Source organism: Homo sapiens, chromosome 4 (assembly GCF_000001405.40).
Source record: "Homo sapiens chromosome 4, GRCh38.p14 Primary Assembly".
NCBI lineage: Eukaryota > Metazoa > Chordata > Mammalia > Primates > Hominidae > Homo > Homo sapiens.
Window position 1 is genome coordinate 16316960 of NC_000004.12, and position 23377 is coordinate 16340336.

A 23377-nucleotide genomic window follows, 5' to 3' on the forward strand; every position below is an offset into this window, starting at 1 on the left:
ATATATATATTTATACATGTGTTAATATATGAATATATCAAAATATATAAATATTATATTCATATATACTTTTATAAATTTATATATGAATATGCTATGAATACAGAATATACTTTATACATTTATATGTATATATTTTTTTCCAAGCACCATGTTATTCATAACATCTCCCTCGAAATCCAACCTGTTTTTCCCAAGATTGAAGCAACCATTTCACAGCCATCAAATGATAGCTGTTAATCTTTTTTCCATCAGTCTTTTGGGATTTTTGAAAGACACTTTTTAAAAATGAAGTATCATTTAGAATTGTTTTTATGGTGCTTGAGAATCTTGACTGACTGAGTACTTCTCTGAAGGGAAGGGTTTAATATGCGTTTGAGTGCTTTTCTCTACTCCCTCCAACCCCAGAGCTAAATCATTGTTTTCTACTTCCTTGCTAAAGTCATGTCATAGATTTCTAATACCTATGGAAGTTTAACATTTGTCTTGTAGGGGAATATAAAAGATGGTGTCAGAATAGCTGGCTAACTGGTGTTCAGGAAGGTCACCTTTAATCATGTTGCCCAAGCAAGGTAGCCTTGATAAAATTACTACCTTTTCTGAATCGCTGTTTTTATATCTGTATAACAGAAGAGTTAAGATGGCTCGATGATGATAATATTTTTTTAATATAAATTTGAAACTCCCTCTTCCATTCTTTGATTCTTTGAATCCATTTTATTATAGGATTTGCCCTTATTGGTCTTTGCTCCTAGATTATTATTTTCCTAGTTTTTCCAATATATGCTTCATTTTTATTCTTTAAAGTTCATGTATCAAAAGTTACCTCCTTAACAGGCCTTCCTGAACCACTCTGTCTAAGTCATCCTGACCTGCAAATGCCCTGTTTCTGTGTTGTCATGTATTTATTTTTCATGTCCCACAAGAGGGCTGGGATCTTGTGTTTCTTGCTCACTGGGAGCTCATAAGCTTGAAGAGTGCCTGGTTCATCATACATGTTAAGATAAATGAATAACTTGTACTTTTTTCAAAATTAATTTCATACTTTGCTATGATAGAGTTTAATTTCTTAATTGTACCAACTTTAGAGATGTGAGAGGTAGGGAGAGGATGATGGCTTTTGTTTCTTGCCAATCTGGCATGAGACCTCCTGCTGTAGGCCATGTGGGAAGCCCTGGAATTCAGAAACCAGGGTGTGAAGTGTGGGCAGCATATCCCGCTGCCTTCTAGCTGCAGTGAGTACTCGGCAGGGGGACCCAGTGACTGTTTCTGATGGAGAAGTCATTGGAAGAGTTTGATATGGTTCCTTATGCCAAATTATCATTTTAAGTGATTCAGTGTCCAGCACATCAGTGTTTGAGGGGGAAAAAGAAGCTGAGATTACCCATGTACACATCTCATGCTAATAACTTGATGACTGGGAGCAGCGGTTTTTATCGCTTTCTTTGAGACAGTTTTGTGTTCATAGAAACTACATATACATAGCAAAGCAGATCAGTCAATCAGCAAACATTTCTTGCATACTTATTTACCATGCAACATGCTGTGGAATATTTCTTGTCATAACCTCCTTCAACTTAAAAGCATCCAGGAATGCTCTTCATGAACAGGTTTTAAAATGATTAAGTATGATCCTTATCCAGGGGTTGCTGCAAGTGTTGGATTTATCTAAACCATCTACCATTCTTAGATGATATCACAAAGTTTTCGGTGTCTACTTCTCATTTTTCAAATCAACTATGTAAGGGGTTCATTCACCTCTTAAAAATTGGCTCCTAAAATGGAATCTTTTAGTGGCAGCCTTCTAAGGTCACGTGGTCGAAATAGTTTGGCAAAAATTAGAAGCAAGGCTTGTCTGAGGTAAGAATTTAGCATCTTTTGCTAAGCCTAAAAAAAAAATCCAAATGTACTGGTTTAGAAGGAGAGGGAAGCATGTGCCAACCTCAAAGAAATCTTCTACAGTTCAAATTTTATAGCAAATCCTTTCCTTTTTTTTTTTTTTGAGACAGAGTCTCGCTCTGTCGCCCAGGCTGGAGTGCAGTGGCGCCATCTCAGCTCACTGCAAGCTCTGCTTTCCGGGTTTTACATCATTCTCCTGCCTCAGCCTCCCGAGTAGCTGGGACTACAGGTGTGCACCACCTACGCCTGGCTAATTTTTTTGCATTTTTAGTAGATACGGGGTTTCACCATTTTAGCCAGGATGGTCTCGATCTCCTGAGGTCATGATCTGCCCACCTCGGCCTCCCAAAGTGCTGGGATTATAGGCATGAGCCACCGTGCTCAGCCACAAATCCTTTCTTAAAGCAAATTTTTATTTTTGAGGAAAAAGAAAATGAACACATCATTGGGTACCTTTTATTTCTGCTACATGGTATGTATTATTATTAGAAATTACAGTCATTTTCTAGCAAGATTATGAGCTTTAATCAGTGATGACCCAAACTTCTTCAGCTTTGGCAATCACTCACCCAACTTTGTGCCATTTCTACAGAGAAAAAGTGCAAAGAAAAACACTGAGCAACCTCAGAAGCACACAACAAATCGGGAGAAACACTTGCTCAATGTTTCTTGAATCCTAGACAAATGGCTCACTAGAAATGGTTAAGAGAAAGACCCATGGTCAGAAGACAAATGGCTAAAGGATGTAAACAGACAGAAAAAAATTATAAACAGAAGTATAAAACATACAAAAAGATGCTCAACTTATTCTTAAAAAGAGAAACACAAATTAAAGCTATGCAAGAATGTCATTATTGCAAATCATACCGTCAGAAACCATACTAGCAAAAATCCAAAATTTGGATGTTATTGGGGTCACAGGAAACCAGGTATTTTTATACATTTCTGGCAACAATGGAAATTTGCACAATTCTACAGAGAACAATTTGAAGGTAGCTATCAAGTTTGCTAATGTATGTATTCTTTGACCTCATACTCCTACTTCTAGAAATTTATCCAGCAGATATGCTCCCATGCATGAGAAATAATGTTTGTACAAGCAAGGTTAATTTTTGCATGATATGTAATTGTTTGTAATTGCAGAAGACTGGAAACAACCAAAATGTTAAACAGAAGGTGACTGTTAAATTTTTTTTTCATCTACAGAATAAAGAAGTTCTTCATGTATATTTATGGGAAAATTGCTAAGGTGTAGTCTCAAGTCCTAAAAAAGCAAAGTTCAGGAAGTGTAAGTATGCCATCATTGTGCAAAGAAAAATAATAAAAACTTGTATGTGTGTATTGTGTGTAGATAGATAGGTATTTGCTTGTTGTGTTGGTCAAGATTCTCCAGAGAAACAGAACTGATAGGTGTAGATAGATTAATATAGAAATGGATTTGTTACGAGAGATTGGCTCACATGTTTATGGAGTCTGAGAAGTCCCATGATCTGCTTGTCTGCAAACTGGAGGCCCCGGGAACAATAGTGGTGTAGTTCCAGTCCAAGCCTGAAGGCTTGAGAACCAGGAGAGCCAATGGTCTAAGTCCCAGTCTGAGTCCAAATACCAGAGAATCAGGAAAAGTAATGTCCAAGGGCAAGAACATTTGTATTTCCCAGTGTAAGAAGAGAGTAAATTTGCTCTACATTTGCCTTTTTGCTCTATTTGAGACCTCAACAGGGATAATGGCCACTCACATTGGTGAGGGTGATCATCTTTACTCAACCTACTGATTCAAATGCTAATGTCTTCTGGAAACACCCTCAGAGACACACCCAGAAATAATGTTTTGCCCAGCTATCTGGGCACTTCTTAGACAAGTCAAGTTGACACATAAAATTAACCATCACAGTTGTATATGCATGAAATATCTATGGAAGTAGGAACTTACTGCATAAGTAAGGAAAGAGACAGATGAGGAATGATTCTGTTACCGTGTAAAATGTGACATTACAAACAAAAGTACAAGGCCCCCACAAGGGCCTAGAGGAAAGAGTGACTCTTTGTAGGGCTTGGTAAACGAAGAGGTAAGTCTTTATCTGGAGGGGGATTCTTCAGACAAAGAGGAACGGAAGGGACACTCCAGGTCAAAAAAATGTGCAAAGGCTTGAAAGAGGCTGACGTGACATTTGATGCTCAGTAAGAAGTGCGATGTGTCCAGAATTTCAGGTGAACTGGAATGGAGTGGCAAGAGATGCGTCAGGTAAGGCTGAATTCCAAGCCAAGGGAGCAAGATGGGTGACAATGCTTGGGTGTCTCCCAAGGATATCAGGTGAATGACACCAGCCTCGCCATGGCAGAGCCATTGCTTTGAGCCATTGGGAATACAGCTGAAGTAGCCAGGGACAGCTTTGCACAAACTGAGTTAGCCTCACAACTCTAATCCTTCTCATGGATGCTCGGGTGATAACAACAGCCGGGTTTCTAGCACTGCCTCATCTAATCTACCCTCCATTTGGCTGACAATGTCATTTCTAAAGCAACATCCACCTACTGCTCTATTGTTCTCAGAATCAAGTCCAGTTTCCTTAGTGTGACACATAAGGCCTTTTGTAATCCGGTCCTGGCCTTGTCTCTCCCCAGCTTTATTTCTCTGAACTTAGTCCTCCAGCTATCCCATACTACTTGAGTCTGGCCAGAAAGTCTTATGCTATTCCATGCCTCCCTGCTTTTCTCCTGCCTAGGATGCCCCATCTCCACCTCCCCTTCCTTCTTGACTCATGGCTCAACATTTAAGACATAGCTCCCTCAGCGTTCCTCAAAGACCTATTCATTCCTACCTCTACCCTAGGCTGATTTCAGTGCCCCCTTCTCTCCTTCTAAACCATACTATATACATCTCTATTAGTCTTTTCTGATGCTGCTAATAAAGACATGCCCGAGACTGGGTAATTCATAAAGGAAAGAGGCTTCATTGACTTACAGTTCCACGTGGCTTGGGAGGCCTCAATCATGGCAGAAGGTGAATGAGGAGCAAAGTCACATCTTACATGGTGGCAGGCAAGAGAGAATGAGAGCCAAGCAAAAGGGAAAACCCCTTACAAAACCATCAGCTCTCATGAGACTTATTCACTACTACGAGAACAGTATGGGGGAAACTGCCCTCATGATTCAGTTATCTCCCACTGGGTCCCTCCCACAACATGTGAGAGTTATGGGAGCTACAATTCAAGATGAGATTTGGGTAGGGACACAGCAAAACCATATCAACATCCTTGGGAGAAGTGGGGAAAAAAATCAAGATTTTGGTGTCAGGGAGAGATTTTTCCCTCTCATTTGCTCTGCTTCTCTGTATCTTGGTGTCTTTCAGACAGCTACTTAACCTTGCTGTAGCTCCGTTTTCTTTTCTATGGAATAAGGATCATAATCTTGTTTTGCATGATTACCATGTGGATTAAATGGGGTTGTGTATCTAAAGCATGATTGACAATGTCTGCCTTGGCTGGAGTTGCCTACCACTGCAGGTATTATTGCAGGCATGTCTCTGCTGCTGTCATTATTATAGCATTTCTATTTTTTACATCAAAATTATCTGTTTATGTGCTCTGTATGTCTGCTTTTTCCCTTTGTCATGAAGGAACTACCTTCTGCAGTCTCTGCATGCCTATGCTCAGCACAGTGTGTATCTTGTACTAGGTGCCCAAATGATATTTATTGAAATCAACTATAAAATATTTAAAAATATTTCCTATGATATATATTACACATGGTTATAACAATGGTGGTGATGGCAATAAACATTTGCACAACTTTACAGTTTAACAAGGAAATTTGGCATATTTTAAAGCTATGTTCCTTGCTTCATTTTTCTTTACCAAAGAGCATCTTTATTTACCAATTCCTCCACTTAAAAAAAGAATGTGTTACTTACTGCATTCATTAATGTTCGTAAGGAATGTACCTGTGTGCTATTCTTTTGATGAATTTGACCTATAATTTGATTACATAAGAAAACATCTCTGCAGGGACTCCCTGAAGAAACAGGAAAGAGCACAGGAGATGAGGAACAAACACAGCCAATGGTGAGGCCCTCAGCAGGGAGCAAGGAGGGGGTGCTGTTGTTAATAAAAAAAGAAGAAAGAAGATTTTCATCTAAAATGAGAAAAGAGGAGAGAAAACAGCTGCATTTATGCAAGATGGTATGATTTGCTTCTATTCGTGGGCATAATGGGAAAAAATAACTTGAGCATTGGGGTTAAAATTGGGTTGAATTGAAAAGAAATCCAGCTGGATAAAACGGCAGATCTGAACGGAAATGTAAGGTATCCTTGAAATGGCATTAAAATGGTGAGGAAAACAGTCATATTTTAGGAGGGGTGATTGCTCTGTGACCCAGAGGAGCCTGGGCTATATTATTCATTTAAAGTTCTCCGGTTTCCAGCCTGTAAGAGTTCAGAGACTTGAGCTTCGCTGGGCTCAGTCTGCACTAGGTAAGTGTGGGGCTGAGCTGGCTCCACTGGCATTGTGGCAATCTATGGAAAGATACCTGTGCTTCTGATCCTAGTTGTGCAGTAGATCAGTATAAATTGAAGCCCCAGTCTACCTTCACCACCTCCTCTCTACCACTCAGCTTGTCATGACCTGCTCAGCAAATAGCTCCACAATTCCTATTTCTCCATCCTAGTTGTGCAGTAGATCAGTATAAATTGAAGCCCCAGTCTACCTTCACCACCTCCTCTCTACCACTCAGCTTGTCATGACCTGCTCAGCAAATAGCTCCACAATTCCTATTTCTCCATCCTAGTTGTGCAGTAGATCAGTATAAATTGAAGCCCCAGTCTACCTTCACCACCTCCTCTCTACCACTCAGCTTGTCATAACCTGCTCAGCAAATAGCTCCACAATTCCTAGGAGCTGTCCTTCAATGCTTTCCTCTCAACTCCCTTATCCAGTCTATCAACAAGTGCTCTCAATTCCACCTCCTAAATATGTCTCTAATCTGAATCCATTCCTCCTCTACTCTGAAGCCACTAGTCCAAGCCTTTGATATCTTTTACATTCTAATTAGTCTCTCTGCTTCTCCCCTATTGCCCTTTTCATACTCAGTCTCTTAATAGGAGCCAGAAGGTGTTCTTAAAATGGATCAGATTTTCAGTGGCTTGAAAAACCAACCCTCCCAAAATGGCTTAGCCAGCCCTGCATTATGTGGCCCATGCCTTCTGCTCCAGACCCTTTTCTTACCATTCTACAGTTCATCCACCACACTCTATACACTGGCCTTTGTTCAGGGTTTTCCCCTGGCCACGCATCTTCTATTATTCTGTGGGTAACAGGGCCCCCAAGGCTCACTTATGTCCCTCAAGCCTTATGGTTCATGTGCATACAACCCAGGTGTCTAACCTTGACCTCCAATGACCTGTCCCTTATCATATTCCCAACAGATGTGGTTACTTTGTCCAAAGCACTTGGCCTTCCCCCTTCATCTGGTCTGTGCTGGATTGGTGAAAAGAGACAAATCTAAACCATTTTTAAATCCCATTCCTTCCCCCTTTTAGAGGTTTAGCTGGCAGCTGGTACAGTGGGTCTGCTATCCTCTCTCCTGGAACAGATCCTGTATCAGGCACAGCCCAGCTTTGTCTAGGGGATAATGAGTGCTGGAAGATTGTGTATTCTGTGCTACTTCAAGACATATAACCTTCCCCCTCTGAAGCCCATTTCATATATATTGCAATGCATAGTTTCAGTGTCTTTCTGCCCCTTTTGCCAAATCACTAAGTTCATCTCATTCTCATCACTAGAAAATCAGCTCCAAGGGGGCAGGAACCCATCTGACACATTTACCTCCATATCCCCCTCCCCTCCTAACATGGTGTTCAAGAGCACCAATGCTGCACCCAATAGCCTGGGCAGAATCTTAGCCTAAAACTTTCTGCATGTTTTGAAAGAGATACATCAAATCTCTGTACCCCCTTCTTATTCTTTGTAAAATAGGAAAAGTAATAGAAATTACTTTCTACGTTTGGGTAGATTAAATGAGTTAACATACATCAAGCACTTAGAATAGTGCCAAACACTTGAAAGTTCTCACATAGGTTTGAATGATTCTTTTTATTGGTCTGTGATAGATGCTCATCAAATGTACTTTGAAAGAATGAATGAATGGACTCTGCAGGTATCAGCTTAAACATCATCTCTTTAGCGAGGTTTTCCAAGAAATCCAAGCTATAGTAGGTTCTTTTCTACAAGGGCACATTACTCCAGTTTGGCCTTCTCTTCTTTGTCTCGCTCTCAGGATCTCTCTCTCTCTCTGACTAGACATGATCACTCTGAAGGCAGCCTGTGTTTGCTTCATGGACACATTTTTCCAGCAAGTGCTTAGCACATGAAGTTGCCCAGGGTTAAGTACTGAATGAAAGAAACATAACTGGAAGACCGAAAGGTTTCTGGAGTGTCTTAGTAGTTGTGTGTGTCCAAGGAATGCAGGACATCAGAGGTCAAGGTTGGATATCCTCAGATCTTATGCACATGGACCAGAAGACTTTGGGGATCCAAGTGCAATTAGATAAGGGAGCTCTGGGGACCCAGATGCCAGTGACTAATGGGATCAAATTTGCAAATCCACACATACACACTTAAAATCAGAATGGTGCCAAATATAGCCAATATAGTCATGGTCTTTGGAGTCAAAACTGGTCATAAATTCATGGCCCTACTGGCCATGTGACCTAGGCAAATGCCTTAACATCTTTGAGTCTCAGTTTCCCTATCGATGTAATAGGGATAATTATCATTCAATTCATAGGATTATTGTGAGAATTAAATGACAGAATGTGTAAAACTTGCTTATGATTTATAGTATTGAATTATGTCTATTCAGCTCCCCACTAGATCATCACTAAAATGAAAGTAAAGGAATGAAAGAGGAGAGGTAGGAGAGGAAAAAACAATCTGTGAGAAATAACAACATATATCAGAAGCTGGAAAGTGCATGGAGTAGAGCTCAGTGACACAACAGAGCAGAAAAAGCAGAAGCAGAGAGGAATGAGCGTACAAAGCAAGTCTGAATTTACCCTGGAGAACCCCACAAAGGCTTGAAACTTGGAAACATCATGAACTGCTGGGCCAGAGGTGAGGATCCAGATGAAAATCAAAAGAATTAACTGAAAGTCTGAACTAGAACAGTAAGACTTCTGGATGTCTCCACCTCTCGCTGCCCAAAGACAGCTCCTTTCCTCTCCTCCACAGAGACCAGAGGTTTAGTCTCAAACACTGAGGGTACCAGTGAGAAGGGAGTGGAGGAGTGAGGCATCAGGTTGAAATCAGAGTGGTTAGGGGAGAGTCTAGACTGAATAGTCAGACACTGCCTACCTGCTTCAGTTCCTGACTTGTGTCTAGAACTTCATTAGCCAGGGGTATTCCATCCTTTGTCCACTAACACACACAGGAGATCAGAAAATTCTTCTATGGAGAAATGGAATTGCAGAAAACTGCTACAGATATTGGCATCCTGACCATGTACTGGCCTCCCCAATTAAAAACCCAATTTGGCTGGGCACAGTGGCTCACGCCTATAACCCCAACACTTTGGGAAGCCGAGGCAGGCGGATCACCTGAGGTCAGGAGTTTGAAACCAGCCTGGTCAACATGGTGAAACCCTGTCTCTACTAAAAATACAAAAATTAGCCAGGGGTGGTGGTGCACACCTGTAATCCTAGCTACTCGGGAGGCTGAGGCAGGAGAATCACTTGAAACTGGGAGACGGAGGTTGCAGTGAGCTGAGATCGGCCATTGCACTCCAGCCTGGGAAACAGAGTGAGACTCTTGTCTCAAAATAAATAAATAAATAAATAAATAAATAGAAAGGAAAAACCCAATTTGCCTCCAAACTACCCTGCAGTGAGGCTTTCTACTCTTATTTTAGTGACCCATTCTCAAATATGAAGTATCACTAGATACCTGAGAAATGAGTGAAAAACACCAGATAAAAAGGAACTCAGAAGAAACAAAGGCAATAGAGAAAGCAAAAAAAATTTAAACTTTTTCTGTTAATACCTTTAGATACATAAGGCAAGATCTTGAGTGTATGAAAAAGAATAAGATTACATAACAAGGAGTAATAAGGAAAAAAAACACTTTTCAATTTTAAAAATATAATAAATGAAATGAAAAATTAATGAGAAAGATTGGTAGAAATATCAAGAAAACCTTTCAGAAACTAGAGTAAAAATCAAATAGGTGAACATTAGGATAGAAAAATAAGAAAAATTAGAAAACTAATCTAGGGAGTCTAATATCTAGCTAACAGGGACTTTGGAAAGAATAAAGAGAATAATATTGAGAGAAAATTTTCAAAGAAATAATACAGAGAAATTCCTCAGAACAGTAACACATTACTTTTCAGGTTGAGAGGGCCTACCCAATCCCCAAAACAGTGAATAAAAATAGATTTACAGAAATTTTAGACTACCAGTGAAAATAAGAACCAAAGATTTCACATAAAAATACAAGTCAGTACAAGGAAACTAGATTAAGGATGGCATTAGAAAATAGAATAAATACGCTATATGCCAGAAAACAAAGAAAAATGTCTTTAAAATTTTGAGTGAAAATTATTTTCAACATATAATTCTCTAATAAGTCACCTTTCAATTAAGCCCGAGTGTAAAATAAAGCCATTTTCAGATAGAAAAGAACTTAGCATTTTTAATCTCCTACATATTCATTTTTAGGAAGCTTTTGGAAGATATATTTCAGCAAAACAAGGGAATAAGCTAAGACATAGAAGTAGAAAAATCCAGAATCCAGGGAACAGGAAAGCCAACAGAGAGGCAGTGAAGGAAAGTTCCAGATTGCGACCACAGAGCAGTCCTAGAGAGTCATCCAGTCTATGTTCGCATTTTCAGCCACAGCATGGGAAGTGGGAAGCCAGGCAGAGCTCAGTAGATTCTAGGAGCTGAAGAAACAGAGCTGGGAGGCTGGAGAAGCCAAGACAGATAATAAAATTCACAGGGTAGAGTACCAAAGAGAAACGTGTTGCAGAGAGAACTCCAGAGATTTACAGAGGATCTTTCTCAAGTATATAGATGAGTACTGATGCATCTCTGTAATACAATGCATGCCTATGAGGAAACTGTTCAAGATCAGAGGAAGAACCACCTCAAAGGATTAGAGGGAACAGTATTCAGAACTTATGCAGGGCTGGAAATAGTGTCTGTGCCCAACAGCCGAGGTGGAAAACCTTGTAATTCACAAGACATTCATGAATAATGGTCTTGCCTCAGTAGTGGAGAGCAACTAAACCTACCTAGCACCCAATCAAAAATTATCAAGCATACAAAAAAGCAAGAAAAGATTACCTTAATTAGGAAAAACATCTGTCAATTGAAACTGACCCAGAAATAACACAGATGATAGAATTAATAGACAAAACACTAAAAGTTATTACATCTGTATTCCATATATTTAATAAGTTAGCGGAAAGACTGAACACGTTAAGTAGAGACCTAGAAGAGATTTTAAAAAGACTCCAATAAAAATTCTAGAGATGAAAATTACATCTAAGATGAAAAGTACACCGAATAGGATTAACAGCACATTAAACATTGTACAAATCTTACTGAAACATTACTTTGATTATGGAGTAGCTACAAAGTATTTTTAAAGTTCTAAAGGAAGCAGTGCTCTTATCTTAATTCTCATTTATAATCAACGCTGGACTTTCCTATGGACAGTACCTGTGAGTTAATTAAGAAATCACCTGGCATTGATGTTGAGAAACCTGGCATGTCCTTCATCAAAATAGATTCTTTTCAAGCCATAGAGGGTAAGTGCTGCCTGTTTAATGATACTGAGTGGTTGACTCCTTAGCTTGTCATGACTACATCCCTTTCCCAAACACATACATGCCATGTTTTTAACCTCTTGTGCTATAAATAAGAGTCTAATGGGAAAAGCCCAGGATTTTGAGGCCTGGTTTACCATATTGTTCAATCAATCTTGAATGTGTTCTAGGCATGCTGTGAGGTGCCAGTGACTCAGTGATATATAAGACACAGCACCTGTCTTTATAATGCTCAAAATTTAATGGCAAGAGACAGATGAGGAAATGTGCAATTATGATACAGCATGATATGGTTATGATGGGAAGGAACTGGGTATTAATGAAAGCATACACAATGGTATTTAAATTTGGAAGCTAGAGAAGTTTTGGCGGAAATGAGGTCTTTTATGAACCTCAAAATATGAGCAGGAGTTTATCCAGTGAAGAGTTGGAACATAGGTCAAGCAAAGGCCCAGAGCCAAGAAAAGGTAAGGTATATTTCAGAAACTGCAAGCAACTCAGCATGGTTAGAAAGCTTGAGGACTGGTCTTGGTGAGAGAGAAGGCTGGGGAGGCTTGATTTGGATGTTGTCCCAAGGGAAAAAAAGGAATGGAAGGAATTTATAATGTTATCACATTTACTTTAAAGAATGTTGACTCAGAATAAGATGTCAGAGTTGAAGAGAAGGCAGATGCAATAATCCCAGTGAGATGAATGTTAAATGGCATGAGGCAAAGGCTGCCAGGATGGAGAGAAATGGATACTTTCAAGAGAAATGTAGGAGCTCAATTCAACAAAATGTCCTCAGTTAATGATAGGGCGCATGAAAGAACGAGAAGCCTTAGGTCATTTTTGGCTTGAGTAACTGTAAGCCCCCATCCCTGAGTCACTCTAACAAGCTTTCTTTCCTGAATGCCCACCTGACTGCTGGCTGCTACTTGTAAAGTCCCCTAGTCCCTGTGTGGGCTAGTGTCTGTTTGAATTCACATTCTTGGAGCTCACCTCAATCCCCAGTGTTACCTGGCAACAACTGTGCATTTTTTGAGTCAGCTCTCATTCTACTTCTCTGGAGTGCTTCAAACCTCCCACCCTCCTTAAAACTCCCATCCAATCACTCATCATTCCCTTTTCAGTCCACAGACTTGCCTTCTATTTCACTAAAAACAATCAAAGCCAACCAAACCAAATGATGCTTGTTACCCTCTCACCCCCTATATACTAACTTATCTTTACAGCTTTCCCTTGACATGCAGAGAAAAATGTGCCCTATGCACTGTCAGCATAATTTCTCTGCCTGTGCACTAGATCACCTCCCTTTTCATTTCTTCAGTCACCTGGCTTTGGGGCTGTATCAATTATCTCCTCCCTCTGTACTTCCCCTACTCTTCAGTTTCCTTCCCACCAACATCTAAATATTCCCAAACCTCTGCCATCTTGGAAAGTCCTCCCTTGAGTCTTTCAGGCTTGCGTGGCTCTTTCTTTTCTGTTCTAGTTTGCCTAAGACCTAGCCACCCTTTCTCTCACCATGTCTGACTTTCCCATTGATTCCTCAGCCTTCAGAGGCCACCTGTGGGCTAAACCTAGTGCATTTCTTTTTAGCTTTGATGTTACTTTTCTTATTTCAGCAGCACTTAACGTGATTGAAACCATCGGACACATTCTTCAAATTCTTTCTTCCCCTCACTGGTCCTTCCATTCCCTTTTGCCTATTCCTCTCCCTTTGCTGGAATGTAATAAATTCATATTACCTGCAGTTTTATATTCAGGTCATTTTATTTTCTACTTAAAGGATTTTAACCAATATTTGGCTTTCTATTTTTTACATAATAAATGTGTGAATATATCTCTTTATAAACCATTCATTGTTTTTGGATAAAGCCAAAGTTCCCCTAAAATACCACCCTTCATCCCTTTCTATATTGCAGAGGTAACTGTGTTTATCTTTTGGTGAAGTTCACTCCTGAGTTTGTTATCTCAGCCTTTACATACACACCTATGAGGGGTCTTCAAAATGTTCATAGAAAATGCATATTATGAACAAACTATGCATGGTTTTCACTTTTTTTTGCACCAAAATAAACTCATACTAATGTGTTATACTGTGTCTGAACAGAATCTAGTTTAAGGCACTAAGAAGGACAATATATCAGTTTGAAAAGAATCCTTATCAGAACAACATGAATTCTGCTAAAATTGAAGCAAGAACAAACATCAAATTTATGGTGAAACTAGGGTGGAAAATTGATAAAAATCATTGATGCTTTATGAAAATTTATGAGGATAATGCCCCATATTATTCAGCAGTTTACAAATGAATAATTTGTCTTAACAAGGAATAAATCCAGTGTTGAAGATGAAGCCCGCAGTAGCAGGCCATTCACATCAACTTGCAAGGAAAAAATTCACCTTGTTTGTGCTTTAATTGAAGAGGACTGATGATTAACAGCAGAAACAAGAGCCAACATCACAGACATCTCAAATGGTTCAGCTTACACAATTCTGAATGAAAAATTAAAGTTTAACAAACTTTCCACTTGTTGAGTTCCAAAACCATTGTGTCCACCAAATCATCTGCAGACAAAAAAAAGTTTTCAATGAAAATTTTAAACAAGTAGGATCAAGATCCTGAAGCATTTTTTAAGAAGAATTGTAACAGAAAATGAAACAATGCTTACCAATATTATCCTGAAGACAAGACATAATCAGAGCAATGGTTACTAAGACATAGAAGTGGCCCAGTCAAAGCAAAAGGGAACCAGCCAAGAGCAGAGGTCATGGTAACAATTTTGGGGGATTGTCAAGGCATTTTGCTTGCTGATTTTTCTGGAAGGCCAATAAATGATAACATCTGCTTATTATGAGAGTGTTGAGAAAGTTAACTAAAGCTTGAGCAGAAAAAAACAAAAAAGTCTGGGAAAGCATTACTAGAGAGTCCTATTCCACCATGACAATGCTCCTGCTCACTCCTTTCATCAAACAAGGGAAACTTTGGGAGCATTTCAGTGGGAAATTATTAGGCATTCACCTTACAGGTGTTATTTGGTGTCTTCTGACTTCTTTTTGCTGTCTAACCTTAAAAAAAATCTGTAAGGGGCACCCACTTTTCTTCAGTTACCTCATGTCAAGATCCTTAATTTAATCGACTGATCAGTCCCTTTTGCCACATGAGGTAACATATTCACATTCTCTTCCTTTCTGCAAATACTTACGGAATGCCACTATGTACTTGGCACTATACTAGACACTTGGGATATAGAAGTTAACAGTGACAATTGGTAAGAAAGACCCCTAGCACCTCTAAAGGAATATAAAACATGATATTTCATATAATTACACATAAAAATCACATAAAAACATAAATTTCACGTTCTGCTTCAGAATACTAATGTGATAGTTTATAATCTAAAAAAGGTTGCATAGACATGGCTAAATTTTCAGGACCCTCAGTTCTTTAGGGATGAACTAAATGGCTGAAATCATAGCTTACAAAATTGTCTTGACTTTGATGTGAAATAAAACTTACATATTTTATTTTTATCTTTTAGTTCCACTTTCCGTAAACTTTTTGAAGTCCTCTAGTATCTGCAATCTTTAGAGCCTTCCTCTACCCCAGAGGTCACCACTGTTTTGGTTTCATAGAAATGGTACCAGATCTTTTCCCATGCATTTATAGACCTGTATAAATCCATGGGTATTTAGTTTAGTTTTGTGGAGGTTTAAAAAAACTTACATAATTTATTTTTGCAAATTGTCTTAAAAACAATGACAATGTGTCTTGAAAAATGTTTCCCTGTTACTACTAATGGGCCAATCACATTCTTTTAACATACAACAAAGTGTTCTATGGGTACTGTATTAGCTTCCTATTGCTGTCATAACAAATTACCACAAACGTAGTGGTTTAAAGCAATACAGATTTATTTATTTATTTATTTTAAAACATTTATTTCTGGTTCAGGGGTACAAGTGAAGGTTTGTTACACAGGTAAACTCATGTCATGGGGGTTTAAAATTTATGGTTCAGAGGTCAGAAGCTGAAAATGGGTTTCACCGGGATAAAATTAAGGTATGTGCAGGGGTGCACTCCTTCTGGAGAGAGTGTTTCCCCTTTTCATGGATAAAGATCCTTGAGATTACATTCAACCCATCTGTATAATCCAGGATAATCTCTCATGTCAAGATCCTTAATTTAATCAACTGCTCAGTCCCTTTTGCCACGTGAGGTAACATAGTCACAGATTCCAGGAATTACAATGTGGACTTCTTCTGCATACCTCAGGCCCCATAGTCTGTAGCTGTTTTCCTTTTTTTTCTTTCTGCATGCTCCTTGGTGACCTTTCTCATTCTCCTGGATGATGCTACATTTCTACCTTCAACGCCAGTTACAGCTATTTATTGAGTCTATCTGCCCTCTGAGATCCCACAGGCTCTGGAACCGTGCCGTTTGTCTTCTTCAGGCCTTTGCACATTTGCTCTCTTGGTTTGAGGACTTTTCCCTCCTTTCAAGTCACATTATCTTCTTTGTCCTTCAAGACTCAAGGTGTTAGCATCCTTCCCCAGGATGTTTTCTTTCCAGATCAGTTCATACCTTCCAGAACTATGCCTATTGCAGTTTTCATCCTGTATTCTAAATGCCTGTGTTTTACCTGTCAACTTTCTGGGTTTATCTATTATTTCTTGTAACCCTAGTGCTTGGACCAAAAGTAGACATTTAATCAATGTTTGTTGAATATATGAGGTCAGAAAAAGCAGTCCTGAGGGCAACCGTTTGCTTTGAAATCTCTCTTAAAGTTGCAGCTACCTCTAGATTTCCAACCCACGAACTTCTAACATTCTCCAACTGGTACAGTTTAGGAAAAGGGGGCTGCAAGTGTGACTTCATGCCAACCCTCCAGGGGTTGTCTGAAGAGCTCAGTTTGTATCAGGTGTCTCTGCATGCAGCTACTTTAGGTCCTGGCAACCTTCCCTTCCTCTTGCCCATTCAGGAAGAAAGGTGAACTGCTCCTCTCTGTCATTAGTCCCAGGGTCCTATGCTTGTTCTCATTAGCTTTTCTATTCCTGCCCATTCCTTTGAGGTATTCCCTTTACTTTCTTCTCCGTAACTTATCCATCTTGAACATGCTCTCTGTTTCCTGCCAGATCCCTGACTAACAGGGGCAGTGGTCATATCTAATCTGTAACCAGATCCTCAATAGTTCAAACCAAGCCTGTATCTCAGCACTCAGTTGATGCTGATGGAATGAATATTGAATATTCTGTAATAAACTTACTAAATTTTGTAATGTCATAGTGTAATCGTGAAGTGTTATAACTGGACCTGACTTTTGATATTTTCCAGCCAAGACCCATCATTTTACCTAAGCGAATTTTAGTTTGGAAATTGTGATGGAAGAGAGAGTGTGCAATAATGGGTAGAGGAAAGATTTCAGAGTCATGTAGACTTGGGTTTGGATCAGAGGTGCCACTGGGCATACTCAGTTTTGTCAATTGCTAAATGAAGACAATATTACATCACTGGGTTGTTGAGAAGATTAAATGAGCTGATGCACCTGAGTTCCCTGGTATAGAACCCAGATGTCCTGGTTTCCATTCCAGGGTGCACGCCACCATTTGGCCAACCAAACTGAGCTGAATATGTGATAGTTTAGTATATAGGAAGGACTTCATGTGGCCCTACTCCTGGTGTGTACGTCCATGTTGCTAAACCAGTGATAAGAGATGAAGGAGTTCTTACAGCCGGCTCCCAGCTGACTCTTCCAGACCATATTTTGACATTTATGTTTTCTTCTCTTTCATTCTGTCGTTATACTTATTTTTGTAGCTACAAATTTTTATATTTAAATTCACAGTCTTAGAAGATAGAAAAGGTGAAAAAAAGTTGTTCAAGGGGATTCCACACTTGTTCTCCAGAACATTATTTTCTAACTCCACGTCTCTTCCTGCATAAGTTCTTCCAGGGTGGGTGCTCTATGAAACAAGCTTCCTATTTAGCTAAGCCTCAGGCAAGCTCATACTCTTTTTTTCTAAGGGATAGAATGTGTGGGTCTGCAGTCCTATTCCAGCAAGTCTCTTGATACAGCAAACATTTCCTGAAGTCCTATTTCCTTCCAAGTATTTTGAAGCTTGCAAACGCAGATATAATGAATGGAGCCTTTAGAGTGAACAATCACTCAACAGCATAAGTTATTTTAATGGGCCCATCACTTGAAACTAAACTTCCGCCATCTGTTCTACCCTTTAACTGCAAATGCAAAAAGAACACCATTCCCAGTGGCATCATAAAAAGTTAGATATAAGTGATTTAAATGCATGTTTTGGTTTTGTATTCATTGCAATATACATCTGAAGGAAGGCTCATATTGGATTTATTTTTTATGGCAAAATCAAAATTCAGAGTGGAGGAGCTTCTCTGTTAACAGTTGAGTACCTTTAGAGTTGGCATGGAATATGTTCTACCATGTTATTCATTCATTCATTCGTTCATTCATCTTTCTTTCTGCAAATACTTATGGAATGCCACCACGTACTTGGCACTGTATGGACACTTGGGATATAGAAGTTAACAGTGACAATTGGTAAGACCCCTAGCACCTCTAAACGTAAGTAAAACAGGACATTTCATATAAACACACACAAAAATCACATAAAAACATAAATTTCATGTTCTCCTTCAGAATACTAATGTGAAGGAATAAGAAAAAGTTTGCAATCAGTCAGATCTTGATTTAAAATTCCCAACTGCTCCACAACGTAACCTGAGACTGTTTCCTTATTTAACAATGATTTACATATCAAACTTTGTCTCCTCATCTGGAAAATGGGAGTAATAATATCTCCCTCTTGAGTCTGTTGCCATTGAATAGGTTGTATACACAAAGCTGTTAGCTCAGGGCTTGGCTCATAGTTGGTGCTATATGATAATTCTCCTTCTGTTTTCTAAATAGCATTTTTTATGGATTTGGGGAAATTACATCTTAGAGTAATATTTCCCCTTTACTACGTAAAATAATACACTCATAGAACAGCAGAGTAGAAAAGAATCTAAGAAATATTCAGCTTTCAGCCTGGGCAACATGGCGAGACCCTGTATCTACTAAAAATACAAAAAAAATAGCCAGGCATGGTGGTGTGCACCTGTGGTCCAAGCTACTAGGGAGGCGAGGTGGGAGGAGTGCTTGAGCCCGGGGGGCAGAGGTTGCAGTGAGCTGAGATCATGCCACTGCACTCCAGCTAATGTGACAAAGAGAGACCCTGTCTCAAAAAAAAAAAAAAAAAAAAAAGAAGGAAAATTCAGCTTTAACTTAATATTCCTTATTGTATAGATACATTTCATTCCAGAGAGAATTAGCAGCTAAAGTCTCGCAGTATGCAATGGTTTCTAAAGCATTTTGGTTGTGTACCTATAAATAAAAAAATTTTAAGCATGCACTTCATATATATATATATATATATATATATATATATATATATGTATTTAGAATCATGGATAGCTATATTAACATATTATAGGCCGGGTACAGTGGCTCACTCCTGTAATCCTAGCCCTTTGGGAGGCTGAGGCAGGCAGATCACCTGAGGTTGGGAGTTCGAGACCAGCCTGACCAACATGGAGAAACCCTGTCTCTACTAAAAATACAAAATTAGCCGGGCATGGTGGTGCATGCCTGTAATCCCAGCTATTCGGGAGGGTGAGGCAGGAGAATCGCATGAACCTGGGAGGCGGAGGTTGCGGTGAGCCGAGATCGTGCCCGGGCAGCAAGAGCAAAAGAAACTCCATCTCAAAAAAAAAAAAAAAACAAAAAACACAAAAACAAACAAACAAAAAATGACCAAAAAAACCATATTACGTACATTACTATATATAATATAAATAAAAAAGAATGAGATAATACAAACAATATTTATTGTCTCACTGGTCTTAGTGGCTTCATACTATGCTTAAGGCATGCGTATTGGTCTCTGGAGGCACACTGCATGCTTGGATGAAGTTTATTATTAACATTAATATATAATTTCACAGTCAAACACTTTTTGAAAATACATTGAAGAAATTTTTAACTGATTGCATTATTTCTATCTTGTGATGGGGCTGACCAAGAACTCATACCAGGAGGAGAAGCATCAACTCTGCCATTTTCTTGTTTTCTTCCTGTATTATGCTCAACCCACCATTTCTTTGCAGGGATATTTTCAGCCACTTCTCCATTTCGTGATGATTAGTATGATTAGAACTGGACAATAAAATGCATATCCACTTAACCAGGTGCATGTTAATATACTGACAGTGAACAGATGTGTGAGGGAGCTGCAGCTGTCCCTTCCCTTCATGGAACTTGTCCTTGAGAGCACTCTTTGCACATTATGTGGCATGTGACCCTCTCACATAACAACCAAAGGTGGGTGAGAGTATCAATATGTATGTAAAACATTAGTAAAGCTCTTATTATTTCTCAAGGATGAATAGTTAAATAGTTTTTCTTAATATTTTCTTTTCACTGTTCCCAAAATGGCCATGCTCACCTCATACTGAAGGACACTGAATTGCTGGAAATGGAAGGACTAGAGTCTATTGATTTCAGCTAATGTTTTTTCCTCAGAAAATATAATTGTAAGGAAATACAAAAAAATTTTATTTCTTTGTAGTCTAACTTGTTCAGAAAAGTGTGCATACCAAAGTGCACAACTTCATGAAGCTTCCTAAAGTGAATCCACCCCATGACCATCATGAAGATCAAAAAATAGAACCTTCCCAGCACCCACTGTGGTTGTGTGCTTCCATCTTCCCCCACATAACTCCCGTCCTGACTTCTAAATCCACAGATTAATTTGCTTGTTTTTCTAATTTTATACATAAGGAATCATACAATGGAAATTATTTTGAATCTGGATTTCTTTTGTGTAACATAGTATTTGTGAGATTTATCTGTGTTGGTAGGTGTAGTGTGGTTCTTTCATTTGTTTTGTTTTTGTTATATAGTATTTTATTGTTTGAGCATATAATTGTATATGTATCCATTCTAGGGTTGATGAATATTTGAGTTATTTTTATTGTATGGTATTATGAATAATGCTCCAGTAAGGCTCATACATTTGGGGTGTGCATGTGTGTGTATATACATATATACATGTATATATATGTATATATATACACATATATATACATATATATACATGTATATACACACACATTTTAATTGGATATATACATGTATGTCCATTTAAATATATACTTAAAATATGTTTTTATATAATTATACTTATATATAATTATAAATATGTATTATAAATATATATAAATATAATTATATATATAAACAGTGGATTTGCTGAGTCATAGATTGGATATATATTGAGGTTTACCAGGTAGAGTAGAGCACATATGAATCAACCATTGTCACAATAATGGCATGAAGTTAACCACATCAAAATGAGCAACATATAACAATGAGCATTTATTACTCACCCGTCTGTGGGCTGGCTGGGATGCTGCTGATTTAAGTTGGGCTTACTCTGGCTTTGTTTGGGTGTCTCTCATCTTTCTCGGACCAGTGGCTTCTCTGGTAGTACATTCTTTTCACAGCAAGAGGCTGGAACCAAGATGGCTTGCCTAACTGCAAAAGCATAGTTCAAGCCTCTGCTCACATGTTGTCCACCAATATCCTCAGTGCAATGCAAGTCACACCCAAGGGATGGGGAAAAATCATGCCACCCACCATGCGGTCTTTGTTAGTGTGTGAATATATAATTCTATTACAGAGAAATGAGGAAATTCGCATCAATAATTAAATTGGTCAAATAGTTATTTAAAGTGTGCCAATTTACACTGCCAGCAGTGGTTCTTAAAGTTCCCATTACTCTACATCTTCAACATTTGGCATTTTCAGTCTTTTTAAAGATAGTCATTCAATACCATGGTTTTAACTTATAGTTACCTAATGATTAATAAGGTTGAATACCTTTTCATATGTTTATTACCTTTTCTAAATGGCTTGCCCAAGATTTTTACCCATTTAAAAAATTAGGTTGCCAATCTTTTCCTTATTGATTCATGGAATATATTCTGAATAGGAATTCTTTGTCAGTTATATCTTTCCCCACTCTGTGTCTTGCGTTTTCACTGTTCTAATTGTGTTTTGGATGAATATACACTTTTTATTTTGAATGTAGCCCAATTATCAATCTTTCCCTTTATGATGAATGCCTTTTATGTCCTCTTTAAGAAGTCCTGGTCTACCCTGAAGCCATGAAGATATTTTCTCATGTTTTCCTTCAAGAGCTTTATTGTTCTTTACATATTTAGATATGCAATCTCTCTGGAATTGGTTTTTATGCATTTTATAAGGTAATGATTCAGATTCATATGGATGTCTAATTGACCCAGTATCATTTATTGAAAGATCATCTTTTCGCTACTGCAGTGCGGGGACACTCTCATATGAAATGACCATTATGTGTTACCCATCCCTGAACTCTTCTTTACATTCCATTGACCTATTTGTCTATTTTTATGTCAATATTACACTCTCTTGATTACTGTAGCTTCATGATACATCTTGACAATTGAGACCATGAACCTTCTAGCTTTGTTCTTCTTCAAGATTGTTTTCACTTTTCTTGACCCTGTATTTTCATTAAAAATGTTTAAACCCGCTTGTCAATTTTTACAGCAGTCCTTCTGGGATATTGATTAAAATTATAATGATTAACTTGTGGAGAATCGATAATTACAACTTCTTTCAGTCTATAAGCATGAAATATTCCTCCATTTTTTAAGGTATTTAAAATGTTTTACTCAATAGGTTTCTATCTCTCTCTCTCTCTCTCTCTCTCTCTATATATATATATATACACACACACATATATACTTTTTATTTTTATTTATTTTATTTATTATATATAGAGGTATATATAAATATATATTTTTATAGTTATATATATTTATAGTTATAAGTTTTTATGCTACAGTAAAAGATGTCTTTTTAAATTTCATTTTCTAGTAGTTTTTTTGTTAGTATATAGAAATAAAATTAATTTTATATTGTTTCTATCTGGTGGCTTTCCCAAATTTACTAACAAATTCTATCTTACCTGTATTTTTTCAGATTTTTCTATACATACAATAATGTTATCTGCAAATAATAACAACTTTGTTTTTTCCAATTCTTATACCTTTTAGTTCTTTATCTTGCATTATTACTTTGAATATATTAGTATATATTGAAATAAAATACTTTCTGAAGTTCTTTCTGTAGGTGCCCTTAATCAAATTTAACCCGGTCCTTTCTAGTCTTAGTTTACTCAAAGTTTTTAATAGGAAATTTTATCCATTTTTTTGCATTATTAACATGTTTGTGTAATTTTTTATGTTATTCTATTAATATGGTGGATTATAATCCATTGATGTTTGAACATTAAGTTAACCTCATGTTCCTGAAATAAGCACAATGTGGTCATAATAATTCTTTTCATGTGTTGCTTAATTTGTTTTGCAAATATTTTGTTTGGTGTTTTATTTATTTATGTTCATGTGAATTATTGGTCTCTAGTATTTTTCTTGCAATATCATTGTCAAGTTTTGATTTCAAAGATGTACTGGCCTTATGTGTAATATGACTTGAAAAGGGAACTGGCTTTGTCCATACTCTGAAAAAATTTGTGTAATATTGGTGTTATTTCTTC

The 23377-nt window shown here is 37.9% G+C and overlaps 1 long non-coding RNA gene across 3 annotated transcripts in view; it reads left to right on the forward strand.

Annotated features, from left to right (window-relative positions):
* LOC124900674 (uncharacterized) overlaps positions 1–23377 on the forward strand; it is a 71217-nt gene that overhangs the window by 29888 nt on the left and 17952 nt on the right. For 2 of the 3 annotated variants that reach the window (XR_007058065.1, XR_007058066.1), the window contains 3 exons: positions 3106–3187; positions 5904–6077; positions 8756–14556. This is a non-coding gene — a long non-coding RNA (uncharacterized LOC124900674). Of the gene's footprint in view, positions 1–3105; positions 3188–5903; positions 6078–8755; positions 14557–23377 lie in introns of those variants that run through there. The other variant, XR_007058064.1, reaches the window with a different exon arrangement.